The sequence below is a fragment of the Homo sapiens genome, chromosome 5 (assembly GCF_000001405.40).
Source record: "Homo sapiens chromosome 5, GRCh38.p14 Primary Assembly".
NCBI lineage: Eukaryota > Metazoa > Chordata > Mammalia > Primates > Hominidae > Homo > Homo sapiens.
In genome coordinates this window covers 157,085,517-157,110,390 of record NC_000005.10, presented here as the reverse complement: position 1 = coordinate 157,110,390, position 24,874 = coordinate 157,085,517, and the positions used below count along the sequence as shown (strand labels likewise).

General features: G+C 43.0%; 1 protein-coding gene across 1 annotated transcript, besides 1 other annotated feature; it reads left to right on the top strand.

Moving 5' to 3' along the window:
* On the top strand, nucleotides 1,347-24,559 carry HAVCR2 (hepatitis A virus cellular receptor 2). The gene is made up of 7 exons (NM_032782.5): nucleotides 1,347-1,465; nucleotides 3,429-3,764; nucleotides 5,642-5,725; nucleotides 11,490-11,533; nucleotides 14,932-15,085; nucleotides 21,414-21,450; nucleotides 23,097-24,559. The coding sequence occupies exons 1-7, from the start codon at nucleotides 1,408-1,410 to the stop codon at nucleotides 23,287-23,289; spliced, it is 906 nt and encodes a 301-aa protein (NP_116171.3). The 5' UTR covers nucleotides 1,347-1,407; the 3' UTR covers nucleotides 23,290-24,559.
* Nucleotides 1,411-1,560: an enhancer, noted in NCBI's record as "active region_23497". NCBI's record gives its function as "activates an Ori minimal core promoter by ATAC-STARR-seq in GM12878 lymphoblastoid cells {active_cell/tissue: GM12878}" and the evidence as "EXISTENCE:reporter gene assay evidence [ECO:0000049][PMID:35858748]".

Here is a 24,874-nt window from a genome sequence, read left to right as displayed (position 1 = left end):
GAGGCAGGAGAATCACTTGAACCCGGGAGGCAGAGGTTGCAGTGAGCCGAGATCATGCCATTGCACTCCAGCCTGGACAAAAAGAGCGAAACTCCATCTCAAAAAAATAAATAAATAAATAAAAATAAAATAAAATAAAATGAGAAATTGATTATGATCTCTTGAGTAACTGCCACTCTGCAATGCTATGGGAAGTACACACATTGAACAAGTTGCATATTTATATTAAATGCCATTTGTTTATATTGAACAAATTTGGTATTTATACCCAATGCATTTAATGGCATAAATGTGAATGACAAAGAAACTCAGGAAGGCAAGACATAGAGGAAGGCCACTGGCTTTTCAGAAACCACTCAGCCTGTGAGCTCACTTCCCTTTTATAAAAAAAAGCTTTTGCTTTTAAGGTGTCCAGATAAAGGTCACACTCCCAGAGCTGAGGCTACGTGAGTCTAAGCTGTTACCTCAGTTATGGGAGTGTGGCTGGAACTCAACACTTTCTGATCATTCATGGCCAAAGCCTCTTGGGGTAGGGGAGAGGGGGCACCTTGTATGCATGAGATGAAACAGGATACCAAGATCCCCTTAATTCTACTCAGAGTAGAGGAAAGGAACTGTTGCCAAAAGGAACATGTTTTTTCTAAATTGAAGAGTTGGAAGTTTGAAGGTCAAAGTCAGAATATTAGAACAGAGAGCCATGCATGTATTATCTAATACAATTTTCTCATTTTATAAATTATATAAATGAGGAAACTGAGACTCAGCAAGGTTATAGGATACAACCTAATCTGTGTTAGAAGAAGGATGAGAGTGAGGCTTATGCTGGGAGTTGCTATGGTCTGTAAATGTGAGGATAAGGAACATGCCATTCACTGTTGTGTTCCACTTCCTAGTCCAGTGCCTGGTGCAAAGTAGGGGCTTCATAAACTTTGGTCACAGGCCTGATGAAGGGACTGATTTGAGTGAATGAATCCATGGATGATGCATCTGTACTTTGTGTTCCCCGCTAGTCAGATGGACTCGGACATGCTCCATTTCAGGTGTATCTCATCTGAGACATTATTAGAGGGTTCTCTTTATGTGCCATGACTGAGTAGCGTTTTCTTCCACTGAAGTATTGCTTCCTCTTTGTTGATATCACAGGACAGACATCAGAACACTTACAGGATGTGTGTAGTGTGGCATGACAGAGAACTTTGGTTTCCTTTAATGTGACTGTAGACCTGGCAGTGTTACTATAAGAATCACTGGCAATCAGACACCCGGGTGTGCTGAGCTAGCACTCAGTGGGGGCGGCTACTGCTCATGTGATTGTGGAGTAGACAGTTGGAAGAAGTACCCAGTCCATTTGGAGAGTTAAAACTGTGCCTAACAGAGGTGTCCTCTGACTTTTCTTCTGCAAGCTCCATGTTTTCACATCTTCCCTTTGACTGTGTCCTGCTGCTGCTGCTGCTACTACTTACAAGTAAGTCTCGGCATGGATATTTACAATGACATAATGGTGCTGTACAGAGGACAAGGGAGAGATACAAGGATGGCCATTGTAATGTTGTTTGTAATAGCAAAAGCTTGGAAGCAACCTAAATGTCCGTCGATGAGGGAGTGGGTAAATAAATGTGATATAATCATGATACAAACAGTGAGTCTGACAAAACATACTGGTATAGAATGTCTCAAAATTATAATGTTATTAAAGAAAAAAAGTTGCAGAATAATGCATATATTAGGCTTCTATTTGTGTGTGTGCATTGTCGGGGAGCAGGAATATGTGGACATTTCTTAATGTATAAGCTCTAGGAAAAGGAACCAGGGAATGGTAAAGAGTTGGGAGAGTAAGGCATATTTTTCTTTTCTTTTCTTTCCTTTTTTTCTTTTTCTTTTCTTTCTTTTTCTTTTTTTCAATTGAGATGGAGTCTCACTCTATTGCCCAGGCTGGAGTGCAGTGGTGGCACCATTTTGGCTCACTGCAATCTCCGCCTCCCAGGTTCAAGTGATTCTCCTGCCTTAGGCACCGGAGTAGCTGGGATCACAGGCGTGCACCACCACACCCAGCTAATGTTTTTAATTTTTAGTAGAGACAGGGTTTTACCATGTTGGTCAGGCTGGTCTCAAACTCATGGCCTCAAGTAATCTGCCCATCTCAGCCTCCCAAAGTGCTGGGATTACAGGCGTGACCCACCGTGTGCCCGGCCACTTTTTCATACACCTTTGATAGTGTTTGAATGTTTTTACTGTAGTTGAGTCATATGAAAACAAAGGGGACATAAAAAATCAAAAGAAAATATATAATGAATGTTTTATCATATATAAAATATATATAGTTTTTTTTTAATGGAATTAACTTTGTCATTTGAGGAAAATGAGGAGACAAGTCTCAATCATTTTAGGAGATTTGTTTGCCAAAGTTAAGGAGGCACCTGAGAGACAGGTCTATGACTTTCTCAGAAGATGATTTTGAGGGCTCCAGATTTAAAGGGGACAAGGTGGGATATTGAGAAGCACTCAGTTTTCACATAAAAAAGGGGGGGGGGCAGAGGAAAAATATGGGGAATCTGCATTTTACATTAGATAACACAGACAAAATGGGGTAGGGAAACAATCAGATAACGCATTTGTGTCTGGCCAGGGTGACCGCACCGGTAAAGATGAGCTATCAATCTGCATTGCACAGCTGACCAGGAATTTCCTTGTGGGCAAAATATGGGGGAGGTATGCAGCCTTTCATCCTGTAGCCATCTTATTCAGGAATCAAAAAGAGGAGGCAGGTTTCTGTGACCCAGTTCCCAGCTTGACTTTTCCCTTTGACTGAATGAGTTTGGGGTCCCAAAATTTAATTTCTTTTCACAACTTTAAACCTTAAAACAACTCCATGAGTAGTTTCAAATACACAAGATCCTTATTTAACCAAGGGTTTGTATTTACTGTGCACTTGCTGCTTAAAAAGAGAAGTATGTTAGGAGAGCCTCCCTTTGTTGATGAACAAGCAAGTAGCCCAGATGGGCGGGCCGTTTCCTGGCTGACCATGACTAATTTTCTGATTGTCTGTTTCCATCAGCCCTGTTCTCCCGTGTTCACAGAATTGGGCCACAATTCTCTCCTAGGGCAGTGTTTCTGAAAGTGAGGTTCTGAGACCAGCCACTTCAGCAACACTTGAGAACTTGTTAGAAATAAAAGTTCTCAGGCTCTACCACAGGCCAACTGAGTCAGGAACTCTAGCAGTTGAGCCCAGCAATCTGTGTTTTCGCAAGGCTTCCCAGTGATTCTGATGGCCTTCACATCTGAGAAGCATTGTCACAGCGAATCATCCTCCAAACAGGACTGCAGCAGTAGCTTCCTCTTTATTCTGTAAGACATGGCTTGCAGTTTTCCTGAAATGGAGTAACCTCACTCACCGCTTGAGTCTTGGCTCTCCTTCTCTCTCTATGCAGGGTCCTCAGAAGTGGAATACAGAGCGGAGGTCGGTCAGAATGCCTATCTGCCCTGCTTCTACACCCCAGCCGCCCCAGGGAACCTCGTGCCCGTCTGCTGGGGCAAAGGAGCCTGTCCTGTGTTTGAATGTGGCAACGTGGTGCTCAGGACTGATGAAAGGGATGTGAATTATTGGACATCCAGATACTGGCTAAATGGGGATTTCCGCAAAGGAGATGTGTCCCTGACCATAGAGAATGTGACTCTAGCAGACAGTGGGATCTACTGCTGCCGGATCCAAATCCCAGGCATAATGAATGATGAAAAATTTAACCTGAAGTTGGTCATCAAACCAGGTGAGTGGACATTTGCATGCCATCTTTATGAATAAGATTTATCTGTGGATCATATTAAAGGTACTGATTGTTCTCATCTCTGACTTCCCTAATTATAGCCCTGGAGGAGGGCCACTAAGACCTAAAGTTTAACAGGCCCCATTGGTGATGCTCAGTGATATTTAACACCTTCTCTCTGTTTTAAAACTCATGGGTGTGCCTGGGCGTGGTGGCTCACACCTCTAATCCCAGCACTTTGGGAGGCTGAGGCCGGTGGATCATGAGGTCAGGAATTCGAGACCAGCCTGGCCAACATAGTAAAACCTTGTCTCCACTAAAAATACAAAAAATTAGCCAGGCATGGTTACGGGAGCCTGTAATTCTAGCTACTTGGGGGGCTGAAGCAGGAGAATCACTTGAACCTGGGAGTCGGAGGTTGTGGTAAGCCAAGATCTCGCCATTGTACTCCAGCCTGGCTGACAAGGGTGAAACTCTGTCTCAAAAAAAAAAAAAGAAAAGAAAAGAAAAGCCAAAACTCATGGGTGGAATGTATAGATGGGATGAAAGGCCTAGATCAGTGGTTAGAGACCCTGACTCTCATTAGAATCACATAGAGAGTTTTTAAACAACTATAGATGCCAGGTACAGTGGCTCATGCCTATAATCCCAATACTTTGAGAGGCTGAAGCAGGAGGATCACTTGAGGTCAGGAGTTTGAGACCAGCCTGGCTGATATACTGTGGCTACCCCTATCTCTTAAAAAGCAGAAGAAAAAACCCCACTACCAAAAACCAGAGAAATCAGCATCTCTGGAGGTAGATGCTAAGCATTAGCTTTTTACAGAGTCTACCTCAGGTGATTTTACCCCAGGTGCAGCCAGCATGGTGAACTGCTGGGTTATGCATGTATGCTGGGAGGTGAACAGACTTAAGATTTCTATAACATGTACTTTGTGCCCAGATAGAGCTGAGTTTACATCTAACTCTGCCTCTTACTAGCTATATAATCCTGAGCAAGTTATTGAAACGCTGTGAGCTCCTCTTCTATAAAATATGACAATAATACCGATCATGTGGGCCATTAGAAGGATTTTATGTGATAATATTTTATTAAAAGCCTTTATAGGTTGGGCATCCCAAATCTGAAAATCTAAAACCTAAAATGCACCAAAATCTGAAATGCTCTAAAATCCAAAACTTTTTGGACACTGACATGACATTCAAAGGAAAAGCTCATTGGAACATAAGTATAGGCAGATACTAAAAAATAAAAAAATAAAAACATGGCTGGGCGTGGTGGCTCATGCCTATAATCCCAGCACTTTGGGAGGCTGAGGTGGGTGGATCACCTGAGGTCGGGAGTTCGAGACCAGTCTGACCAACATGGAGAAACCCTGTCTCTACTAAAAATACAAAATTAGCCAGGTGTGGTTGCACATGCCTGTAGTCCCAGCTACTCAGGAGTCTGAGGCAGGAGAATTGCTTGAACCCAGGAGGCGGAGGTTGCAGTGAGCCGAGATTATGCCATTGCACTCCAGCCTGGGCAACAAGAGCAAAACTCCGTTTCAAAAAAAAAAAAAAAATTCAAAATCTAAAACATTTCTGATCTCAAGCATTTCAGATAAGGAGTCTTCAACCTGTAATTATGGCCATTTGTGTGGCTGTTAGTTCCGCTATTAATAATCAGAATGTAACAATGATGACTGCATCTTACCTTTGTCAAACATTTGAAGTGTGTGATACACTCTCAACGTAGGTATCCAGGCAGGTTTGGAAGCTGAGGGTGTATTTCTCTTTCTTAATTGTCTTTCGCATTTTTTTCTTGCTGCCCCTTTGATTCCCTGAAATAAGCTTTCTGCTCTCAGATAATTTTCATCCTTATGTTGTTTCTGACATTAGCCAAGGTCACCCCTGCACCGACTCGGCAGAGAGACTTCACTGCAGCCTTTCCAAGGATGCTTACCACCAGGGGACATGGCCCAGGTAACTATGCATGGGGCAGAGGAGGGAATCTTTAGCTGGCTCTGAATTCAGAGGATTTTGAATGTGGGAAAAAAAGATGAGAAAACAGTGTGAGAGTGGAGGCATGGATATCTCCGTGCACCTGAAATAGTGTTTGAAAAGAGGGAAGTGGTGGAGACACACCTGTGCTGGGAAAAAGATGGTCTGGCTTAGGATTATTTTACTTAAATTTTAACTGGAAAAAAGTTAATAAACTTTATAGTCTTTAATTTTACTTAAATATTAACTAAATTGAATGAAATGCTCATTACTTTGTCCACATTTTCTGACTGACCCTGGACTGGTGATGTTTGGTCATGAACTGGTGTCAGTCTGTGTTTGGGAACTGACACATTGGATTAGGTGATTTCTAGGATGCCTTCTAGCTAGAATAAAGCCCATCACCTTCCCTGGATTCCAGCCACAGAAAGAATAGTTAAATTCTTCATGTAATTCAGCAAGGACGTACTCAGGGTGCTCCAGAAGAGAACACTGGGCATAAAGCAGAAGTCAAGTCACATTGATCATGAAGGTTAATTTTAAGGTATTTCTTGTCAGTGTCCTGGTCTCTTCTAAACTCTCTGGAGCTCCATTTTTTTTTTCTTCTGTAAAATGAGGTTAATAGGTGAGTCCCACCTCATAATGTCATAAATCTCATAAATCACACCTTATGGGCTTTAAATAAGAAAATGTCTAAAACGTTTATCCCAATGTCTGACCACAATTTGTACATGTTAGCTGTTGTCGTTAATATTATAAGATCAGGAGGCACAGTGAGATTGTGGTTAAAGTACTTCAGTGACAGGTGGAATGGGTTCTAATTTCAGCTGTTCTTGATAGCTCTGTGACCTCAGTCAAGTTGCTCAAATTCTCTGAAGCTCAGTTTGCTCATCTCTACAATGAGGATAATTCCAGTGCCCATGTCATGAGGTGGTTGTAATGTATAAACATGATAATGTATGTAAAATGCTCAGCATAGTACCTGGCCCATAAAAAGCACTCAACTGTTTATTATTACTATAGTTACTGGTTTTAGCTCTCCAAAGTTTCAGTCTTTGGTTAGTCTTTAGTGATTGGTAGCCAACATCTTTTATGCAATTAGAGAGGAAACTAAATATGGTGGGGACAGAAAATAATAAAGTTATACCAGATACTTATTGTATGCCATTGTTATATTTTAAAGAATCTTACAACCATAGTGCTAGAAGGGACTTCAAGGGTCATTTAGTCTCACTTTCCCATCCTGTGCTTCAGTACTTTTTTTTTTTTTTTTAATTGAGACGGAGTCTTGCTCTGTCACCCAGACTAGAGTGCAGTGGCGCAATCTCGGCTCACTGCAAGTTCCGCCTCCTGGGTTCACGCCATTCTCCTGCCTCAGCCTCCCAAGTAGCTGGGACTACAGGCGCCCACCATCAAGCCCAGCTAATTTTTTTCTTTTTTGTATTTTTAGTAGAGACAGAGTTTCACCGTGTTAGCCAGGATGGTCTCCATCTCCTGACCTTGTGATCCTCCCGCCTCGGCCTCCCAAAGTGCTGGGATTACACGCGTGAGCCACCGCGCCCGGCCAGTACTTTTTACTACATCACCACTGAATGGGCATTTGCTGTAGACGGAGTTCACTCCCTGTCGAGGTGGTGCATTTCCTTATACTTGTCTCTACCACAGACAGAAGTCTTCTTTCCTTTAGTTTTTCTTTCCTTTTTTTTTTTTTTTGAGACGGAGTCTCACTCTCTCACCCAGGCTGGAGTGCAATGACACGATCTTGGCTCACTGCAAACTCTGCCTCCCAGGTTCATGCCATTCTCCTGCCTCAGCCTCCCAAGTAGCTGGGATTACAGACGCGCGCCACCACGCCCCGCTAATTTTTGTATTTTTATTAGAGACGGGGTTTCACCATGGTGGCCATGCTGGTCTCGAACTCCTAACCTCAGGTGATCCCTCTGCCTCGGCCTCCCAAAGCGCTGGGATTACAGGTGTAAGCCACCACGCCCAGCCTTCCCTTTAGTTTTTGTTTGTTAGTTCCTTCCCTCTAGGGCAACAAAAATGGGAATATAGGAATAATACCTCGAACCTCTGAGCTTCTCAAGGGCCTGACTGAGAAAAAATATTGAAACAACCAAAAATAGGTCAGTAGCTCCTAAATAGGAAAATAAAATAAAAAATTGAAATGAATGAATATTTAATGGTTTGTCTATAATATGTAACATTATGTAAATTGGCTGCTGGCAAACCAACTCTAAATGTGGGATGTGGGAGCATTTAATATAAAAATGGGGCTGGGCACAGTGGCTCACATGTGTAATCCCAGCACTATGGGAGGCCAAGGCAGGCAGATCACTGGAGCTCAGGAGTTCAAGACCAGCCTGGGCAACATGGCAAAACCCCATCTCTACTAAGAATACAAAAAATTAGGCTGAGTGCAGTGGCTCACACCTGTAATCCCAGCACTTTGGGAGGCCAAGGCAGATGGATCACCTGAGGTCAGGAGTTTAAGCCAGCCTGGCCAAGATGGTGAAACCCCTGTCTCTACTAAAAATACAAAAATTAGCTGGTCATGGTGGTGCATGCCTATAATTCCAGCTACTCAGGAGGCTGAGGCAGGAGAATTGTCTGAGCCTGGGAGGAGTGAACCGAGATCTCACCACTGTCCTGAAGCCTGGAAAACAGAGCGAGATTCCATCCCAAAAAAAAAAAAAAAAAAAAAAATAGCCGGGCATGGTGGCATGTGCCTGTAGTCCCAGCTACTTGGCAGGGCTGAGGCAGGAAGATTGCTTGAACTCAGGAGGTTGAGGATTCACTGAGCCGAGTTGGTGCCACTGTACTCCAAACCTGGGCAACAGAGCGAGACCCTTTCTCAGAAAAAAAAAAAAAAAAAATGGAGTAGAGCCTTTAAAAGTAAGAGATCCAAGGGCCTGGAATTTGAACACAGAACAAATGCAACTTGTCTTCTACCTGAAGGAGTAAGGACTGGGTCACAGGTGAGTCCTCAGCTCTAGAGTAGATCTGCTTTAAATCCTAGCTTTCCCAATTAATAGCTGTGTGATCTTGGGCAAAGTGGCTCTCTCAGACTCAGTATCTTCATCTGAAAAATGGGGAAAATAGTAGTACCTACTTATTGTGGTTGAGGATTAAATGAGATTGTATGTATATGGTGCTAAGCACCATGTCTGGCACCTAATAAGTACCAAATAGATGGTAACTACTAAATTTATACACTGTTAAGGCCATCACATCTCACCTCCGCTGCTACCTGCCCCACCAGGCAAATCTTGGTTTCTCCAGAAAGAACATTGCCACTCCCTTCAACTGTCCCATCCATCTTGGTTGGTGGCCAAATCTGTGTGAAAAAAAGCTGTAATGACACAACAGTGCTTGATTTTACTGATCATTTTCATAGCAAAATGAAGTTTTTAAAAAGTTAGTTTTACCATTTTTATCAAGAAAAATAATTATAAGGAGTCTGAAACTGGATTTACATTTAAAATCTTATGTGCACTTAAGATTCATGTTTACTTAGCAGTTGTACTGATGAGGGTCTTTTTTTTATTTTTTTGATATGGAGTCTTGCTCTGTCACCAGGCTGGAGTGCAATGGTGTGATCTCGGCTCACTGCAACCTCCACCTCCTGGGTTCAAGCGATTCCACTGCCTCAGCCTCCTGAGTAGCTGGGACTACAGGCGTACACCACCACGCCCGGCTAATTTTTTGTATTTTAGTAGAGATGGGGTTTCACCATATTGGCCAGGATGGTCTCGATCTCCTGACCTCGTGATCTGCCTGCCCTCGGCCTCCCAAAGTGCTGGGATTACAGGTGTGAGCCACTGCACCAGGCCTGTGGTTTTTATATTTTAAATTTTTTTCTGGTAATTAGGGCAAAAGTAATTGGAACATAATCTTTTTTTCTTCAATAATTTTAGGCTGAGGCTATGCCTTTATAATATTTAAACTATAGTTTGCTAAACCAGCATTTAGTCAAACCCTTTATACACATTAAGGCTTCCAGAAGGTGACAGTGACATTTAAGAAGTTTCAACATCTCTGACTCAGCCATAAAAATGAGTAAGCATGCTTAGTTTTCCAAAAGCTGGCAATGTACTTATTTTTAGAATTCAGTGTTCATGAGGTCAGGGCCTGTGCCCCTCTTGTTTCCTGCTCTGTCCCCTGTGCCTAGAGTAAGGGCATAGTGCATATTCATGGAATGGATCAGCAGATGAAGAAATAAACAAATGAACAGGAAGGAAAGATGGTGAGTGGGTGGCTGGGCAACGTGACCCTCTTCATAATGACAGCACTGAGGTAAGGGCTGGTGAAGGCAGTATAATTAAGAATGTGCATTTAAGGCTATGCAGACCTAAATTGGAAGGCCATTTTGTCATTTGCTAAGTCATGTGACCTTGGGTTAGTCACTTCACTTCCCTAATTTTCAGTTTCTTCATCTGTGCAATGGGACTAACAGTCTCTACTTTAGAAGCGTAGTTCTAAAGTAAGTGCTTCTAAGTATCTCTAAAATGAGCTTCTTCACTGAAAGAGTTTATTTAGCACAAGGCCTGGCTCCTATTACATTGTGACCACAGTGATTATTTTCATTTGTTGGCAACCCTGTCTCCCTTCTCATGAGTAAATGCAAAACTTATTTAAGAAAATGGAGGCTGGGCACGGCACGGTGGCTCACGCCTGTAATCCCAGCACTTTGGGAGGCCGAGGCGGGTGGATCACTTGAGGTCAGGAGTTCGAGACTAGCCTGGCCAACATGGCGAAACCCCGTCTCTACTAAAAATACAAAAATTAGCTGTGTGTGGTGGTGTGCCCCTGTAGTCCCAGCTACCAGGGAGGCTGAGGCAGGAGAATCGCTTGAACTCAGGAGATGGAGGTTGCAGTGAGCAGAGATCATGCTACTGCACTCCAGCCTGGGTGATAGAGTGAGATTCTGTCTCGCAAAAAGAAAAAAAAGAAAAAGAACATGGAGGTTGCAGTGAGTTGAGATTGTGCCACTGCACTCCAGCCTGGGCAACAGAGTGAGACTGTCTCAAAAAAACAAAAAAGAAGGAAATGAATTTTTGTTGTCTTTTAAAATCTAATTAGAATATAATGCCTGAGGCCAAGCCTGGTCGTTCACACCTGTAATCCCAGCATTTTGGGAGGCTGAGGTGGGCAGATCACCTGAGGTCAGGAGTTCACAACCAGCCTGGTCAACATGGCCTCGTCTCTACTAAAAATACAAAAATTAGCTGGGCGTGGTGGTGCATGCATGTAGTCCCAGCTACTTGGGAGGATGAGGGATGAGAATTGCTTGAACCAGGGAGGCCGAGGTTGCGGTGAGCTGAGATTATGCCACTGCACTCCAGCCTGGGTGACAGAGTGAAATTCTGTGTCTAAATAAATAAATAAATAAATAATGCCTGAGTCTTATCAATATTGCTAGATGTTTGTAGAACTCATTAGGGTCCTGTGAAAAAAACAAAGCACATATTTAATGTAGGACTTCCTGGCAGAAGTCTCTATTTCATAAAACAGTACGGTTCATTATCTAGATGAAAAAATGTGGCCATCCTAAAGTTGATTCCTGGGTGTTCAGTAAATTTTGTCTGTCTCTCCATTAATTATTGTGACAAGTACGGAGTAGAATTCATTTCAAATAGGATTATAGGCATCATTAAGATTTTTTAAAAACTTAGATAAAAGAAAACGTTCTTAACTATACTATTGGCTATTTTTCCTCTCTCTCTCTCTCTCTCTCTTTTTATAGCAGAGACACAGACACTGGGGAGCCTCCCTGATATAAATCTAACAGTAAGTAACTTTTTTTGTGAGCTATGTTGTACTCAACTTGGAGGGGAAATCATGGCTTTAGACTTCCTTCATGCCCACCTTGTCCTTGGGGTAAAAAGCCTTAAGTTCCCTTAGCTTCAGATTCCTGGGCTGTAACATGTTGATGATGACAGTTCTAACCTCATAGGCCTGCTGTAATGAAGGACTGACATGATGTGTGTAAAGTGCCTGGCATATAGTAAGAGCTTGAAAACCACAAAGAAGAAACATTAGCATTTTGTCCCTCTTATTCTTCAATTTCACAACTGTCTACCCTGTGGAAGGTTCAAAGATTCTTCATCTCCCTAGAATACCATTCTTCTTGCTTCCATTGCAATCCTAATGGGAAAGAGTATTTAAATTTATCTCTTTAAATATGGCAAGACACCAGTCAGGAATATTCAAAGTGAAGAGGTTTTTTTTTTTTTTTTTTAGACAGAATTTCGCTCTTGTTGCCCAGGCTGGAGTGCAAGGGTGTGATCCTGGCTCACCTCAACCTCCGCCTCCCGGGTTCAAGCGATTCTCCTGCCTCAGCCTTCCGAGTAGCTGGGATTACAGGCATGAGCCACCACACCCGGCTAATTTTTTTATTTTTAGTAGAGACGGAGTTTCACCACATTGGCCAGGCTGATCTTGAACTCCTGACCTCAGGTGATCCACCTGCCTCGGCCTCCCAAAGTGCTGAGATTGCAGGCGTGAGCCATGGCACCTGGCCTAATTTTGTATTTTTAGTAGAGACAGGGTTTCTCCATGTTGGTCAGGCTGGTCTTGAACTCCTGACCTCAGGTGATCCGCCCAACTTGGCCTCCCAAAGTGCTGGGATTACAGGCATGAGCCATGGTGCCCAGCCAGTTTTATGTATTTAACTATAAATAAAGCCATACCTTAATAAACCTCAATTTTACTGTCCCTGCTACCTTCTCAGAATAAAAGAAAAACTGGCTGGGCGCAGTGACTCACGTCTGTAATCCCAGCACTTTGGGAGGCTAAGTAGGGTGGATCACCTGTCAGGGGTTTGAGACCAGCCTGGTCAACATGGTGAAACCCCATCTCTACTAAAAATACAAAAAATTAGCCAGGTATGGTGGTGTGTGCCTGTGTAGTCTCAGCTACTCAGGAGGCTGAGACAGGAGAATCGCTTGAATCCAGGAGGTGGAGGTTGCAGTGAGCTGAGGTCGCGCCACTGCACACCAGCCTGGGCAACAAGAGCGAAATTCCCTCATAAAAGAAAAACCACTAGAAGGCAAGCTTGCAGCAATGACTTAAAAATTCTTTGAGGAGGCCGGGCACAGTGTCTCATGCCTGTAATCCCAGCACTTTAGGAGGCCAAGGTGGAAGGAATGCTTGAGACCAGGAGTTTGAGACTAGCCTGGGCCACATAGTGACACCCTGTCTCTACAAAAAATATTTTTTAAAATTTGGCCAGGCATGGTGCTGCAAACCTGTAGTTCCAGCTACTTGGGAGGCTGAGGCAGGAGGATCACTTGAGCCCAGTAGGTTGAGGCTGCATTGAGCTGTGATCATGCCCCTGCACTCCATCCTAGGTGACAGGGCAAGGCCTTGTCTCAAAAAAAAAAAAAAAAAAAAAATTACTTGAGGGCATATCCAGGAGCCCACATTTATTTGACTCAGTTTCTTGCTTGTGTATTCACAACTGATGCTCAGCATCTTGTATTTGCTCCTTCTCTCTTTGCAATCAAACAGTGCTTTTTAAGGACCTGTATGTGCCCACAATGCTTAATGCACAATATCTTGCATATAGGACTCCTGTTATTGCAGGAGTAATGTGTATTGAATCAATTTGTAAATGTATATTGAATAAATGGAAGATTTAACTTCCTTAAATTCATTGTTTTAAAAATGCTTATAATTATATGTGTGTGTGTGTGTGTGTGTGTGTGTGTGTGTGTGTTTTGTATAAATGGGGTCTCAATATTATTAGGCTGGTCCCTAACTCCTGGTCTCAAGTGATCCTCCCATCTCAGCTTCCCAAAGTGCTGGGATTATAGGTGTGAGCCTGGCCTATAATTATTATTTATTTATTAATTTATTATTTATTTTTGAGATGGAGTTTTGCTCTTGTCGCCCAGGCTGGAGTACAATGGCACAACCTTGGCTCACTGCAACCTCTGCCTCCTGGGTTCAAGCGATTGTCCTGCCTCAGCCTCCCAAATAGCTGGGACTATAGGTGCCCGCCACCACACCTGGCTAATTTTTGTATTTTTAGTAGAGATGGGGTTTCACCATGTTGGCCAGGCTGGTCTTGAACTCCTGACCTCGTGATCTGCCTGCCTTGGCCTCCCAAAGTGCTGGGACTACAGGCGTGAGCCACCGCACCTGGCCTAATCATTGTTTTTAAAGAGAGAAAAAGAGAGAACCCATAGACTGAAATTTTAGAAACAGGATTTATTTTGTGTGGCTCTCAGTTATCAGAAAATCAAGTTAACTAGAGCAATAGCAATAATAGCTACGATTGATTGAACATTTATTATGTACCAGGCCCTGTACTAAGCATTTTATATTTTCTCTCACTTAGTTTTCCTGATAACTCTACAGGATTACTCAGCCCTTAGTGGCAGAGCTGGGAATTTTTTTTTTTTTTTTTTTTTTGAGATGGAGTCTCGCTCTGTTGCCCAGGTTGGCGTGCAGTGGCATGATCTCAACTCGAGTACTCCAGTCTTTGCCTCCTGGGTTTAAGTGATTCTCCTGCCTCAGCCTCCCCACTAGCTAGGATTACAGGCATGTGTTACCACGCCTGGCTAAGTTTTGTATTTTTAGTAGAGACGGGGTTTCACCATGTTGTCCAGGCTGGTCTCAAACTCCTGATGTCAGGTGATCCGCCTGCCTAGGCCTCCCAAAGTGCTGGGATTACAGGCATTAGCCACCGCGCCCGGCCTCAGAGCTGGGATTTGAATCCACGACCGTCTGGCTGTAAAGTCTTGGCTATTGAATCACTGTCTTTTTGTGAAAAATAGACGTTTCATAGCAAGACACTAAATGTAAACTACTCTAAAACTCTCTGGGGAATCTTAGGGGATCTTGAACCAACAAGACTCCACTCTAAAGCCAATTTTTGCAGGGGCAGGGAAAGGGTCTTAAGAGCTCCTTCTCTCTTTTTTTTTTTTTTTTTTTAAGAGCTCCTTCTCTACCCACAACACAGAAGGGCACATTTTGTTTCCTTGCTAACTCCAAAGGTTAAGGGAGACCCTTTCTTGGGTTGGCTTGAGTGTTGGCTACAAGGTGACAGATCAAAGGTGATTTGAAGGACTCAGCCATCCTGTGATGTTGTAAAAGGGATGGTCCAATTCACAAATCTTGAAGCTGATTACACAAGCGATTTCTAGCTGTTTTCTGCTTAAATCCTGTTTGTGTTTCCATAGCAAATATCCACATTGGCCAATGAGTTACGGGACTCTAGATTGGCCAATGACTTACGGGACTCTGGAGCAACCATCAGAATAGGCATCTACATCGGAGCAGGGATCTGTGCTGGGCTGGCTCTGGCTCTTATCTTCGGCGCTTTAATTTTCAAATGTAAGTGTTTTTGTTTCTCTCTCCCTCTGATAACAAATTCTTCAGTGAGAACCAGTAAAAACCTAGATAGAAATGCAAATTCATGTTTATACCCAAAGATGATTAGACTAAATACCCTTTTGTCCATCCAAATCCTAACAATAATGGCTAATTTTTATTTAATATTTATTGTGTGTCAGGCAGCCACTGCGTTAAATGTTTTACATACATTTTATCATCATTACTGTCTTATGAGATAAGGAATAGTACCATCCCCATTTTACAGTGAAGGGAAGTCAAGCTTAGAGTAAGCTGCCTTCCCGAGGTTTCAACATCAGTACCTGGCAGAACCGGAAATCAAATCCAGGCAGGCTGATTCCAGTAAACTAATTTCTTTAATTCATGAATATGTCTAGGTTTGTTACGAAACACAACAACAAAAAACACTTCCTTCTGTGCACTTTTCTGTTATTGGTTTCTCAGGCATACCTCTCTGGCAGTAGACTGCAAGTCCCTTTAACACTGGGTCGTGACTGGGGTTAGAGAATGTTTTCCTCCATCATGGTACTTAGCACATAGCTTTTTCTAAGTTACTTATCCCTTTTTTTTTTTTAAACTAGCAAACAAACAAAAACAAAAAAACAGGCCCGGCGCAGTGGCTCACGCCTGTAATCCCAGCACTTTGGGAGGCTGAGGGGGGTGGATCATTTGAGGTCAGGAGTTCGAGACCAGCTTGGCCAACATGGTGAGACCCCATCTCTACTAAAAATACAAAATTAGCCGGGTGTGGTGGCGCATGCCTGTAATCCCAGCTACTCAGGAGGCTGAGGCAGAGGAATCACTCAAACCTGGTAGGTGGAGGTTACAGTGAGCTCAGATCATGCCACTGCACTCCAGCCTGGGTGACAGAGTGAGACTGTCTTAAAAAAAAAAGTAATAAAATATAAATAAATAAGCAAATAAATAAATAAATAAATACAATGGCCAGGTGCAGTGGCTCATGCCTGTATTTTCAACACTTTCGGAAGCTGAGGTGAGAGGATCAGTTGAGCCCAGGAGTTTGAGACCAAGATCAGCCTGGGCAGCAAAGCAGGATCCTGCCTCTACAACGTAATAATAATAATAATGAGCTGGGCATGGTGGCACACACCTGTAGTCCCATCTACTCAGGAGGCTGAGGTGGGAGGATCACTTGAGCTCAGGAGGCTGCAGTGAGCGGTGATTGCATCATTGCACTCCACCCTGGGCAACAGAATAAGACAGTCTCCAAAAAAAAAAAAAAAAAGAAGTGTGTTGAAGTTGATGAATTTTGATGGAGAATTACAGTAGGAAGCCATCATCACAATCAAGATCTAAATACTTCCAGTACCCCCAAAACCTCGCACACTTTTGTTTTTTTGGAGATGGACGCTGGAGTGCAGTGGCACGATCTCAGCTCACTGTAACCTCTGCCTCCCGGGTTCAAGTGTTTCTCCTGACTCAGCTTCCAGAGTAGCTGGGACTACAGGCATGTACCACCACGCCTGGCTAATTTTTATATTTTTAGTAGAGACAGGGTTTCACCATGTTGGGCAAGATGTTCTTGATCTCCTGACCTTGTGATCCGTCCACCTCGACCTCCCAATGTTTTGGGATTACAGGCGTGAGCCACTGTGCCTGGCCACTCACACACTTTTATAATTGTGTCTATTTTATTTTCTTTTAGGGCAGAAACCAAGTCCTTATGCCCCAGAGCGTAATATGACATAGCAGCCTTTCTTACTAATACACAAACAGGGACTGTGTGTGTAGAGTGAGCAATCACCTCAGATTAGCTCAAGACTAAAGGGTGTTCCTAAGATATATGGGACTTCTAGGGCTAAAACTGGAACAGTCCAAGAAAAACATGAGTTGGTCCCCCCACTAACTGTGGACTGAAGCTGCCAAGTGCTTTACGTGCATTAAATTCTCGTAACTACCCTATGAGATAGGTACTAATATGTTTCTAATGGAGAATCAGCATGCTAAAAGGTTAGGTCACTTGCCTGCATTTACACAGTTAATTGATAGATACTGGATTTGAAACCAGGACTGTCCTGCTCCTCATCTTTATGGTTTCTGCGATTATGGTTAAATGGATTATTCAGAAAAAGAAACTACCCCACCCACACTTACCTGGGTTTATTCAGAGATAGCCATGGAATTTTTGAATTGATCACATGAATATATATATATGTATATATATGTATACACATATATATATATATTTATTATTATTGGGACAGAGTCTTACTCTGTCACCTGGGAGCTGGACTACAGTGGTGTGATCTTGGCTCACTTCAACCTCTGCCTCCTGGGTTCAAGCAATTCTTGTGCCTCAGCCTCCCAAGTAGCTGAGATTACAGGCATATGCCACCACACCTGGCTAGTTTTTTTTTTTTTTTTTTTTTTTTTTTTTTTTTTTTTTTTGGTAGAGACAGGGTTTTGCCATGTTGCCCAGAAAATTGGTCTCAATCTCCTGAGCTCAGGTGATCCTCCTACTTCAGCCTCCCAAAGTGCTGGGATTACAGGCGTGATGAATATATACATATTTAAAAATAGAGGCTGAGCACGGTGGCTTACGCCTGTAATCCTAGCACTTTGGGAGGCCGAGGTGAGTGGATAACCTGAGGCTGGGAGTTTGAGACCAGCCTGACCAACGTGGAGAAACCTCATCTCTACTAAAAATACAAAATTAGCCGGGCATGGGGGCACATGCCTATAATTCCAGCTACTCGGGAAGCTGAGGTGGGAGAATCACTTGAGCCCAGGAGGCGGAGGTTGCAGTGAGCTGAGATCGTGCCATTGCACTCCAGCCTGGGCAACAAGAGTGAAACTCCATCTCAAAAAATAAATAAAATAAAATAAAATAAAAATAGAAATGAGATCTTGCTATGTTGCTCAAGCTGGTCTCAAACTCCTGGGCTTAAATAATCCTCCCACCTCAGCCTCCCAAAATGTTGGGATTATAGGCATGAGTCATTGCACTTAGCCTCACTTGAGTATTTCCAAAACAGACTAGGGATTGTTAAGGAGCACTGATAACACTCACTACTTTTTTGACTTCTGCCATGGCTCAAAGTAAAACTTTGAGCTTTACTATTATATATATTAGAGACCACTTTATATATATATGTGTGTGTGTATATATATATATATATATATATATAATATGACCATAATTTATACATATTAGCACTTATTCTAGTTTGTATAAAGAGTGATGGGATCTAGAGGAAATCTGATGCTTTGTACACACACATATATGCCACTCCAAAAAAACATGGCTACTGAGAAGTACAGATAAGAAAGGCCTGTTTCATTTCCAATCTTTTCCCTGGAAGTTGCTGGAGAAAATATTAAAATCAAGGTGACAGCTTTTTAAGTCATGACCTCACAAAAACAAACTGACACTCAATAATGCCCCACAATCTTCCATCTTTCTAGTGTACTCTCTGAGATGACCATCCATACCTCACTGCTGCTCAAAACTTCTTTGCCCCTCTCCTAACTGATGAAATATGAAAGGGCTTTTTAATCTCCATTGCCTAGGCCAAGACTTCATCCTTCTTTTTATCCCTTTCTTCTGAGTCATCTCTCTCCTTTTCTGTTTATGCTATTTTCATTAGCAGAATATATGTTCTAGTCCATGCATTCCTCTCCAGCTAGTCCCATTTCTCAACTCGTTCTCACAGCCATATTTTTCAAAGGAGTTGTCTCTACTTTTCACCCATCTACACTCCTTGACCCACCATCATCTAGTTTCTGCTCCAAAGCACAACGGAAATGGTCAAGCTCACCACTGACCTTCAGTTTTCTAAATTAAATATTAACAGATACCTTTATCTTTTTTTTTTTTTTTGAGACAGAGTTTCACTCTTGTTGCTTAGGCTGGAGTGCAATGGTGCAATCTTGGCTCACTGCAACCTCTGCCTCCCCGGGTTCAAGTGATTCTCCCCCCTCAGCCTCCTGAGTAGCTGGGATTTCATGCATGTGCCGCCATGCCTGGCTAATTTTGTATTTTTAGTAGAGACGGGGGTTTCACCATGTTGGCCAGGCTGGTCTCAAACTCTTGACCTCAGATGATCTGCCCGCCTTGGCCTCCCAAAGTGCTGGGATTATAGGCGTGAGCCACCGTTCCCAGCCTGATACCTTTATCTTTATTATAGTCAACCTTTTAAATTGATCACTCATTCTAGAAAGTCCTCCTTCTCTTGGCTTCTGAAATGACATTCTTCTCTTTGATCCATTGCTTTTCAGATCTTCTTCTGCCTGATCCTTAGATGTTGAGATTCCTTAGGGCTGGGTATGGTGGTGCACGCCTATCGTCCCAGCTACTCAGGAGAATGAAGCAGGAAGATCACTTGAGCCCAGGAGTTTGAGGCTATGAACTATGATCTTGCTGCTGCATTCTAGCCTGGGTGACACAGCACAGGGAGACCCTGTCTCAGAGAAAAACAACAACAGAAGATTCCTGCAGTCTTCCTCCAACATACATCTAAAGTGTTTTCATTATTCTGCATCTCTTTTGGCCATTCCTTACTCCAAGACACCATTATTTCTACTTAATTTATCTTCTCATTTCTTTATTCCTCCTTCGAATCCAATATTAAAACCCAAATCAATGTCTGAGCACAATGGCTCATGCCTATAATCCTAACACTTCGGGAGGCCAAGACAGGAGAGTCACTTGAGGCCAGGAGTTTGAGACTAGCCTGGGCAACATATTGAGATTCACCCAGGCTGGAGTGCAGTGGTGTGATCATGGCTCACTGCAACCTCTACCTCCCGAGTTCAAGCAACTCTCCTGCCTCAGCCTCCAAGTAGCTAGGACCACGGGCATGTGCCAGCATACCTGGCTAGTTTTTGTATTTTTAGTAGAGATGAGGTTTTACCATGTTGCCCAGGCTGGTCTCGAACTCCCAAGCTCAAGAAATCCACCTGCCTTGCCTCCCAAAGTGCTAGGATTACAGGCGTGAGCCACTGCATCCAGCCCAAAAACATTAAAAAAAATTATCCAGCTGTGGTAGTGTGCACCTATAGTTCTAGCTACTCAGAAGCTGAGATGGGTAGATCCCTTGAGCCCAGGAGTTCAAAGTTGCAATCAGATATGATCTTACTACTGCATTCCAGCCTGGCCAACAGAGCAAGACCCTGTCTCAAAAAAAAAAAAAAAAAAAAAAAAAGAAAAGAAAAGAAAGGAAAATTTTAAGTTTCAAATTTTTGAAACTGCATCCCCAGAAGACACCTTGAAAGACCTTGATCCAGAGGTACCCAGTAAGCCACACCTGGATTCCTGACCCACAACACAGAAATGATGAGATAACGTAGTTGTTTTCAGCGGGTAAAAGAAACCCAAAACAAATAAGGATCACATCTCTGCCCTTCAAGGAAATCTAAGGTTTCCTACAGGTCTTAGAATAAAATCCAGACTCCTGATTATGGCTGGAAAGGTCTTATTGGACCTAGCCCCAGCCTACCTTTCAGACCTTATCTTGGGCCGCTCCCTTAATCCAGCCACGTTTTCAGTTTCAGGTACTCAGCAAGATCTTTACAAGGGGCTCCCTCATCCTGGAATGCTCCTTCTGGCTCTTTACTTGGCTGACTCATTTCAGAAACGAGCTTAAAGTTCATCTCTGAGGGTCCTTCCCTGACCACCCTCTCTATTATCTGTTTCACTATGATGTTGGTTTCCTTTATAATACATCATAATTTGAAATTATTTTGTTTTCCTATTTACTATTTCCTTTTTGTTGTTGTTTTTTTTTTTTTGAGACGGAGTTTCGCTCTCGTTGCCCAGGCTGGAGTGCAATGGCGCAATCTTGGCTCACCGCAACCTCCGTCTCCCGGGTTCATGTGATTCTCCTGCCTCAGCCTCCCGAGTAGCTGGGATTACAGGCATGGGCCACCACATCCAGCTAATTTTGTATTTTTAGTAGAGACGGGGTTTCTCCATGTTGGTCAGGCTGGTCTTGGGTCTGGGGTACTGTTTTCTTTTATTTCTTTGGTCTCCCACAGGAGAGCGTGAGCTTCGTGAAATTAGGGCTCACAATTCACTTTTATGTTCCTGTGTTCCTTGTGCCAGGCAAACTGCCAGACACATAGTAGAGGTCTCATAATATTTGTTAAATAAGAAAAATGCATCTTTATTATTATTTTCTAACACAGTCCATATAACTATCTAAGGCACACGTTGAGAGTTTCATTTAACTCAATCTGAGATGAGACCAGATTTCCCTAAACTATGCGTGCTTCCAGTGAACCTATTTGATTTCTTGTCTCATTTATTTTATGAATGCATTTTTATTGGCTTTTGTTTCCCCCTTACTAGGGTATTCTCATAGCAAAGAGAAGATACAGAATTTAAGGTAAGAATAATGGAATGGGGTTGGGAAAAGGTGAGAATCTTGGAAGTCCCTACTCTAACATGTCTGATCTTTTCTCTGAGAAATCCTGTCCTGGGGCTTTGAGATCTGAGTTTATACTTCCTTCTTTCTCTAGGTCTAGTTATGAAGTGAAAATGTAACATGCTACTGTGTGTACTTCCTGACACCTCTAGCTTCTTTAGTTCTAAAGTTAAGGTATAGAATTTATCACCCTAATAATACAACATGCTTATTCATCTCGATATTAATGGTTTTTCCACTGAACTGAAACATCAACGGATTGAGCTCCTATTATATCCAGGGTCTGGGCTGCACTTAGGCGTTACAGAAGTGAGCAAGAAACCCAGTATCTGTTCTCAGCATTTCTGTAAACAGCCCAGGCATTTTCAACTTTAGTTTCCTATTAGAATCACCCAGGCACTGAAGTGTACTAATGCAGGGCCAACCCCAGAGCAACTGAATCAGAATCTCTGGGGATGAAGCCTAAGCATAGAAATTGTTCTAAAAGCTCTCCAGGTGATTCTAGTGAACAGTCAGGGCTGAGAACTGCTAGTCTGTTATAGACTCCTGTCTTGACCTTCGTTCCTGATTATACACACCCACACATCCATTTCAAATAGGTATGGCTTACATAACTTACTAGATTTTAGACTTTTAGTGATGTTTGGCACATGAATGGAATACAATATATTTGGATTACAAAAATGATTCTGGGCTAGGTGCTGTGGCTTACGCCTATAAGCCCAGCACTTTGGGAGGCTGAGGTGGGAGGATCACATGAGCCCAGGAGTTCAAGACCAGCCTGGGCAACATGATGAGACCTCTTCTCTACAAAAAAATGGAAACATTAGGTGGAAGGATTGCTGGAGCACAGGAGATGAAGGCTGCAATGAGCCATGATTGTGCCACTGCATTCCCACCTGGGTGACAGAGAAAGACCCAGCATCAAACAAAACAAAACAAAAACCTCTGTCCATTGAATGCTATCTAAAGCATTAATAATTTTTTTTTTTTTTTTTTGAGACGGAGTCTGGCTCTGTCACCCAGGCTGGAGTGCAGTGGCACAACCTCGGCTCACTATAACCTCTGCTTCTCGGGTTCAAGCGATTCTCTGCATTAGCCTCCCAAGTAGCTGGGATTACAGGTGCATGCCACCACGCTGGCTAATTTTTTGTATGTTTAGTAGAGACGGGGTTTCACTATGTTGGCCAGGCTGGTCTCGAACTCCTGACCTCGTGATCTGCCAGGCTCAGCCTCCCAAAGTGCTGGGATTACAGGCGTGAGCCACGGCGCCCGGCCCATTTTTTGAAAATCTAAATGTGTACATAATTGCAGACATCTTGATACTTCACCTAAACTTCAGCCTGCACCTCCGAGAAATAAAAATATTCTCTTAGCTATCACAATGCTGTTGTTATACCTAAGAAAATTAAAATTAATGGACATTTTCTCAATTGTTTCCCCATAGTATTTTATTGCTATTTCTTGGCTTTTCCACTTGTTCAGCATCTGATCAAAGATCATGCACTATATTTAGTTGCTGTCTCTTTGGGAAAGCCTATTCTCTTAACTCTATTCCGTGTTACCTGGGAAATGCTTAACTCAACCGCAACACTTTATTTCCACAGCCTCATCTCTTTGGCCAACCTCCCTCCCTCAGGATTGGCAAATGCAGTAGCAGAGGGAATTCGCTCAGAAGAAAACATCTATACCATTGAAGAGAACGTATATGAAGTGGAGGAGCCCAATGAGTATTATTGCTATGTCAGCAGCAGGCAGCAACCCTCACAACCTTTGGGTTGTCGCTTTGCAATGCCATAGATCCAACCACCTTATTTTTGAGCTTGGTGTTTTGTCTTTTTCAGAAACTATGAGCTGTGTCACCTGACTGGTTTTGGAGGTTCTGTCCACTGCTATGGAGCAGAGTTTTCCCATTTTCAGAAGATAATGACTCACATGGGAATTGAACTGGGACCTGCACTGAACTTAAACAGGCATGTCATTGCCTCTGTATTTAAGCCAACAGAGTTACCCAACCCAGAGACTGTTAATCATGGATGTTAGAGCTCAAACGGGCTTTTATATACACTAGGAATTCTTGACGTGGGGTCTCTGGAGCTCCAGGAAATTCGGGCACATCATATGTCCATGAAACTTCAGATAAACTAGGGAAAACTGGGTGCTGAGGTGAAAGCATAACTTTTTTGGCACAGAAAGTCTAAAGGGGCCACTGATTTTCAAAGAGATCTGTGATCCCTTTTTGTTTTTTGTTTTTGAGATGGAGTCTTGCTCTGTTGCCCAGGCTGGAGTGCAATGGCACAATCTCGGCTCACTGCAAGCTCCGCCTCCTGGGTTCAAGCGATTCTCCTGCCTCAGCCTCCTGAGTGGCTGGGATTACAGGCATGCACCACCATGCCCAGCTAATTTGTTGTATTTTTAGTAGAGACAGGGTTTCACCATGTTGGCCAGTGTGGTCTCAAACTCCTGACCTCATGATTTGCCTGCCTCGGCCTCCCAAAGCACTGGGATTACAGGCGTGAGCCACCACATCCAGCCAGTGATCCTTAAAAGATTAAGAGATGACTGGACCAGGTCTACCTTGATCTTGAAGATTCCCTTGGAATGTTGAGATTTAGGCTTATTTGAGCACTGCCTGCCCAACTGTCAGTGCCAGTGCATAGCCCTTCTTTTGTCTCCCTTATGAAGACTGCCCTGCAGGGCTGAGATGTGGCAGGAGCTCCCAGGGAAAAACGAAGTGCATTTGATTGGTGTGTATTGGCCAAGTTTTGCTTGTTGTGTGCTTGAAAGAAAATATCTCTGACCAACTTCTGTATTCGTGGACCAAACTGAAGCTATATTTTTCACAGAAGAAGAAGCAGTGACGGGGACACAAATTCTGTTGCCTGGTGGAAAGAAGGCAAAGGCCTTCAGCAATCTATATTACCAGCGCTGGATCCTTTGACAGAGAGTGGTCCCTAAACTTAAATTTCAAGACGGTATAGGCTTGATCTGTCTTGCTTATTGTTGCCCCCTGCGCCTAGCACAATTCTGACACACAATTGGAACTTACTAAAAATTTTTTTTTACTGTTTTTTGTTTGTTTGTTTGTTTTTTGAGATAGAATCTCGCTCTGTCTGAGTTCATTGTAGATTCTGGATATTAGCCCTTTGTCAGATGAGTAGGTTGCGAAAATTTTCTCCCATTTTATAGGTTGCCTGTTCACTCTGATGGTAGTTTCTTTTGCTGTGCAGAAGCTCTTTAGTTTAATTAGATCCCATTTGTCAATTTTGGCTTTTGTGGCCATTGCTTTTGGTGTTTTAGACATGAAGTCCTTGCCCATGCCTATGTCCTGAATGGTAATGTCTAGGTTTTCTTCTAGGGTTTTTAGGGTTTTAGGTCTAACGTT

Coding starts and splice junctions, on each gene's coding strand:
- HAVCR2 (NM_032782.5), top strand. CDS start 1,408: ATGTTTTCACATCTTCCCTTTGACTGTGTCCTGCTGCTGCTGCTGCTA. Junction 1,466..3,428: donor GCTGCTGCTACTACTTACAA/GTAAGTCTCGGC, acceptor CTCTCTATGCAG/GGTCCTCAGAAGTGGAATAC. Junction 3,765..5,641: donor GAAGTTGGTCATCAAACCAG/GTGAGTGGACAT, acceptor TTCTGACATTAG/CCAAGGTCACCCCTGCACCG.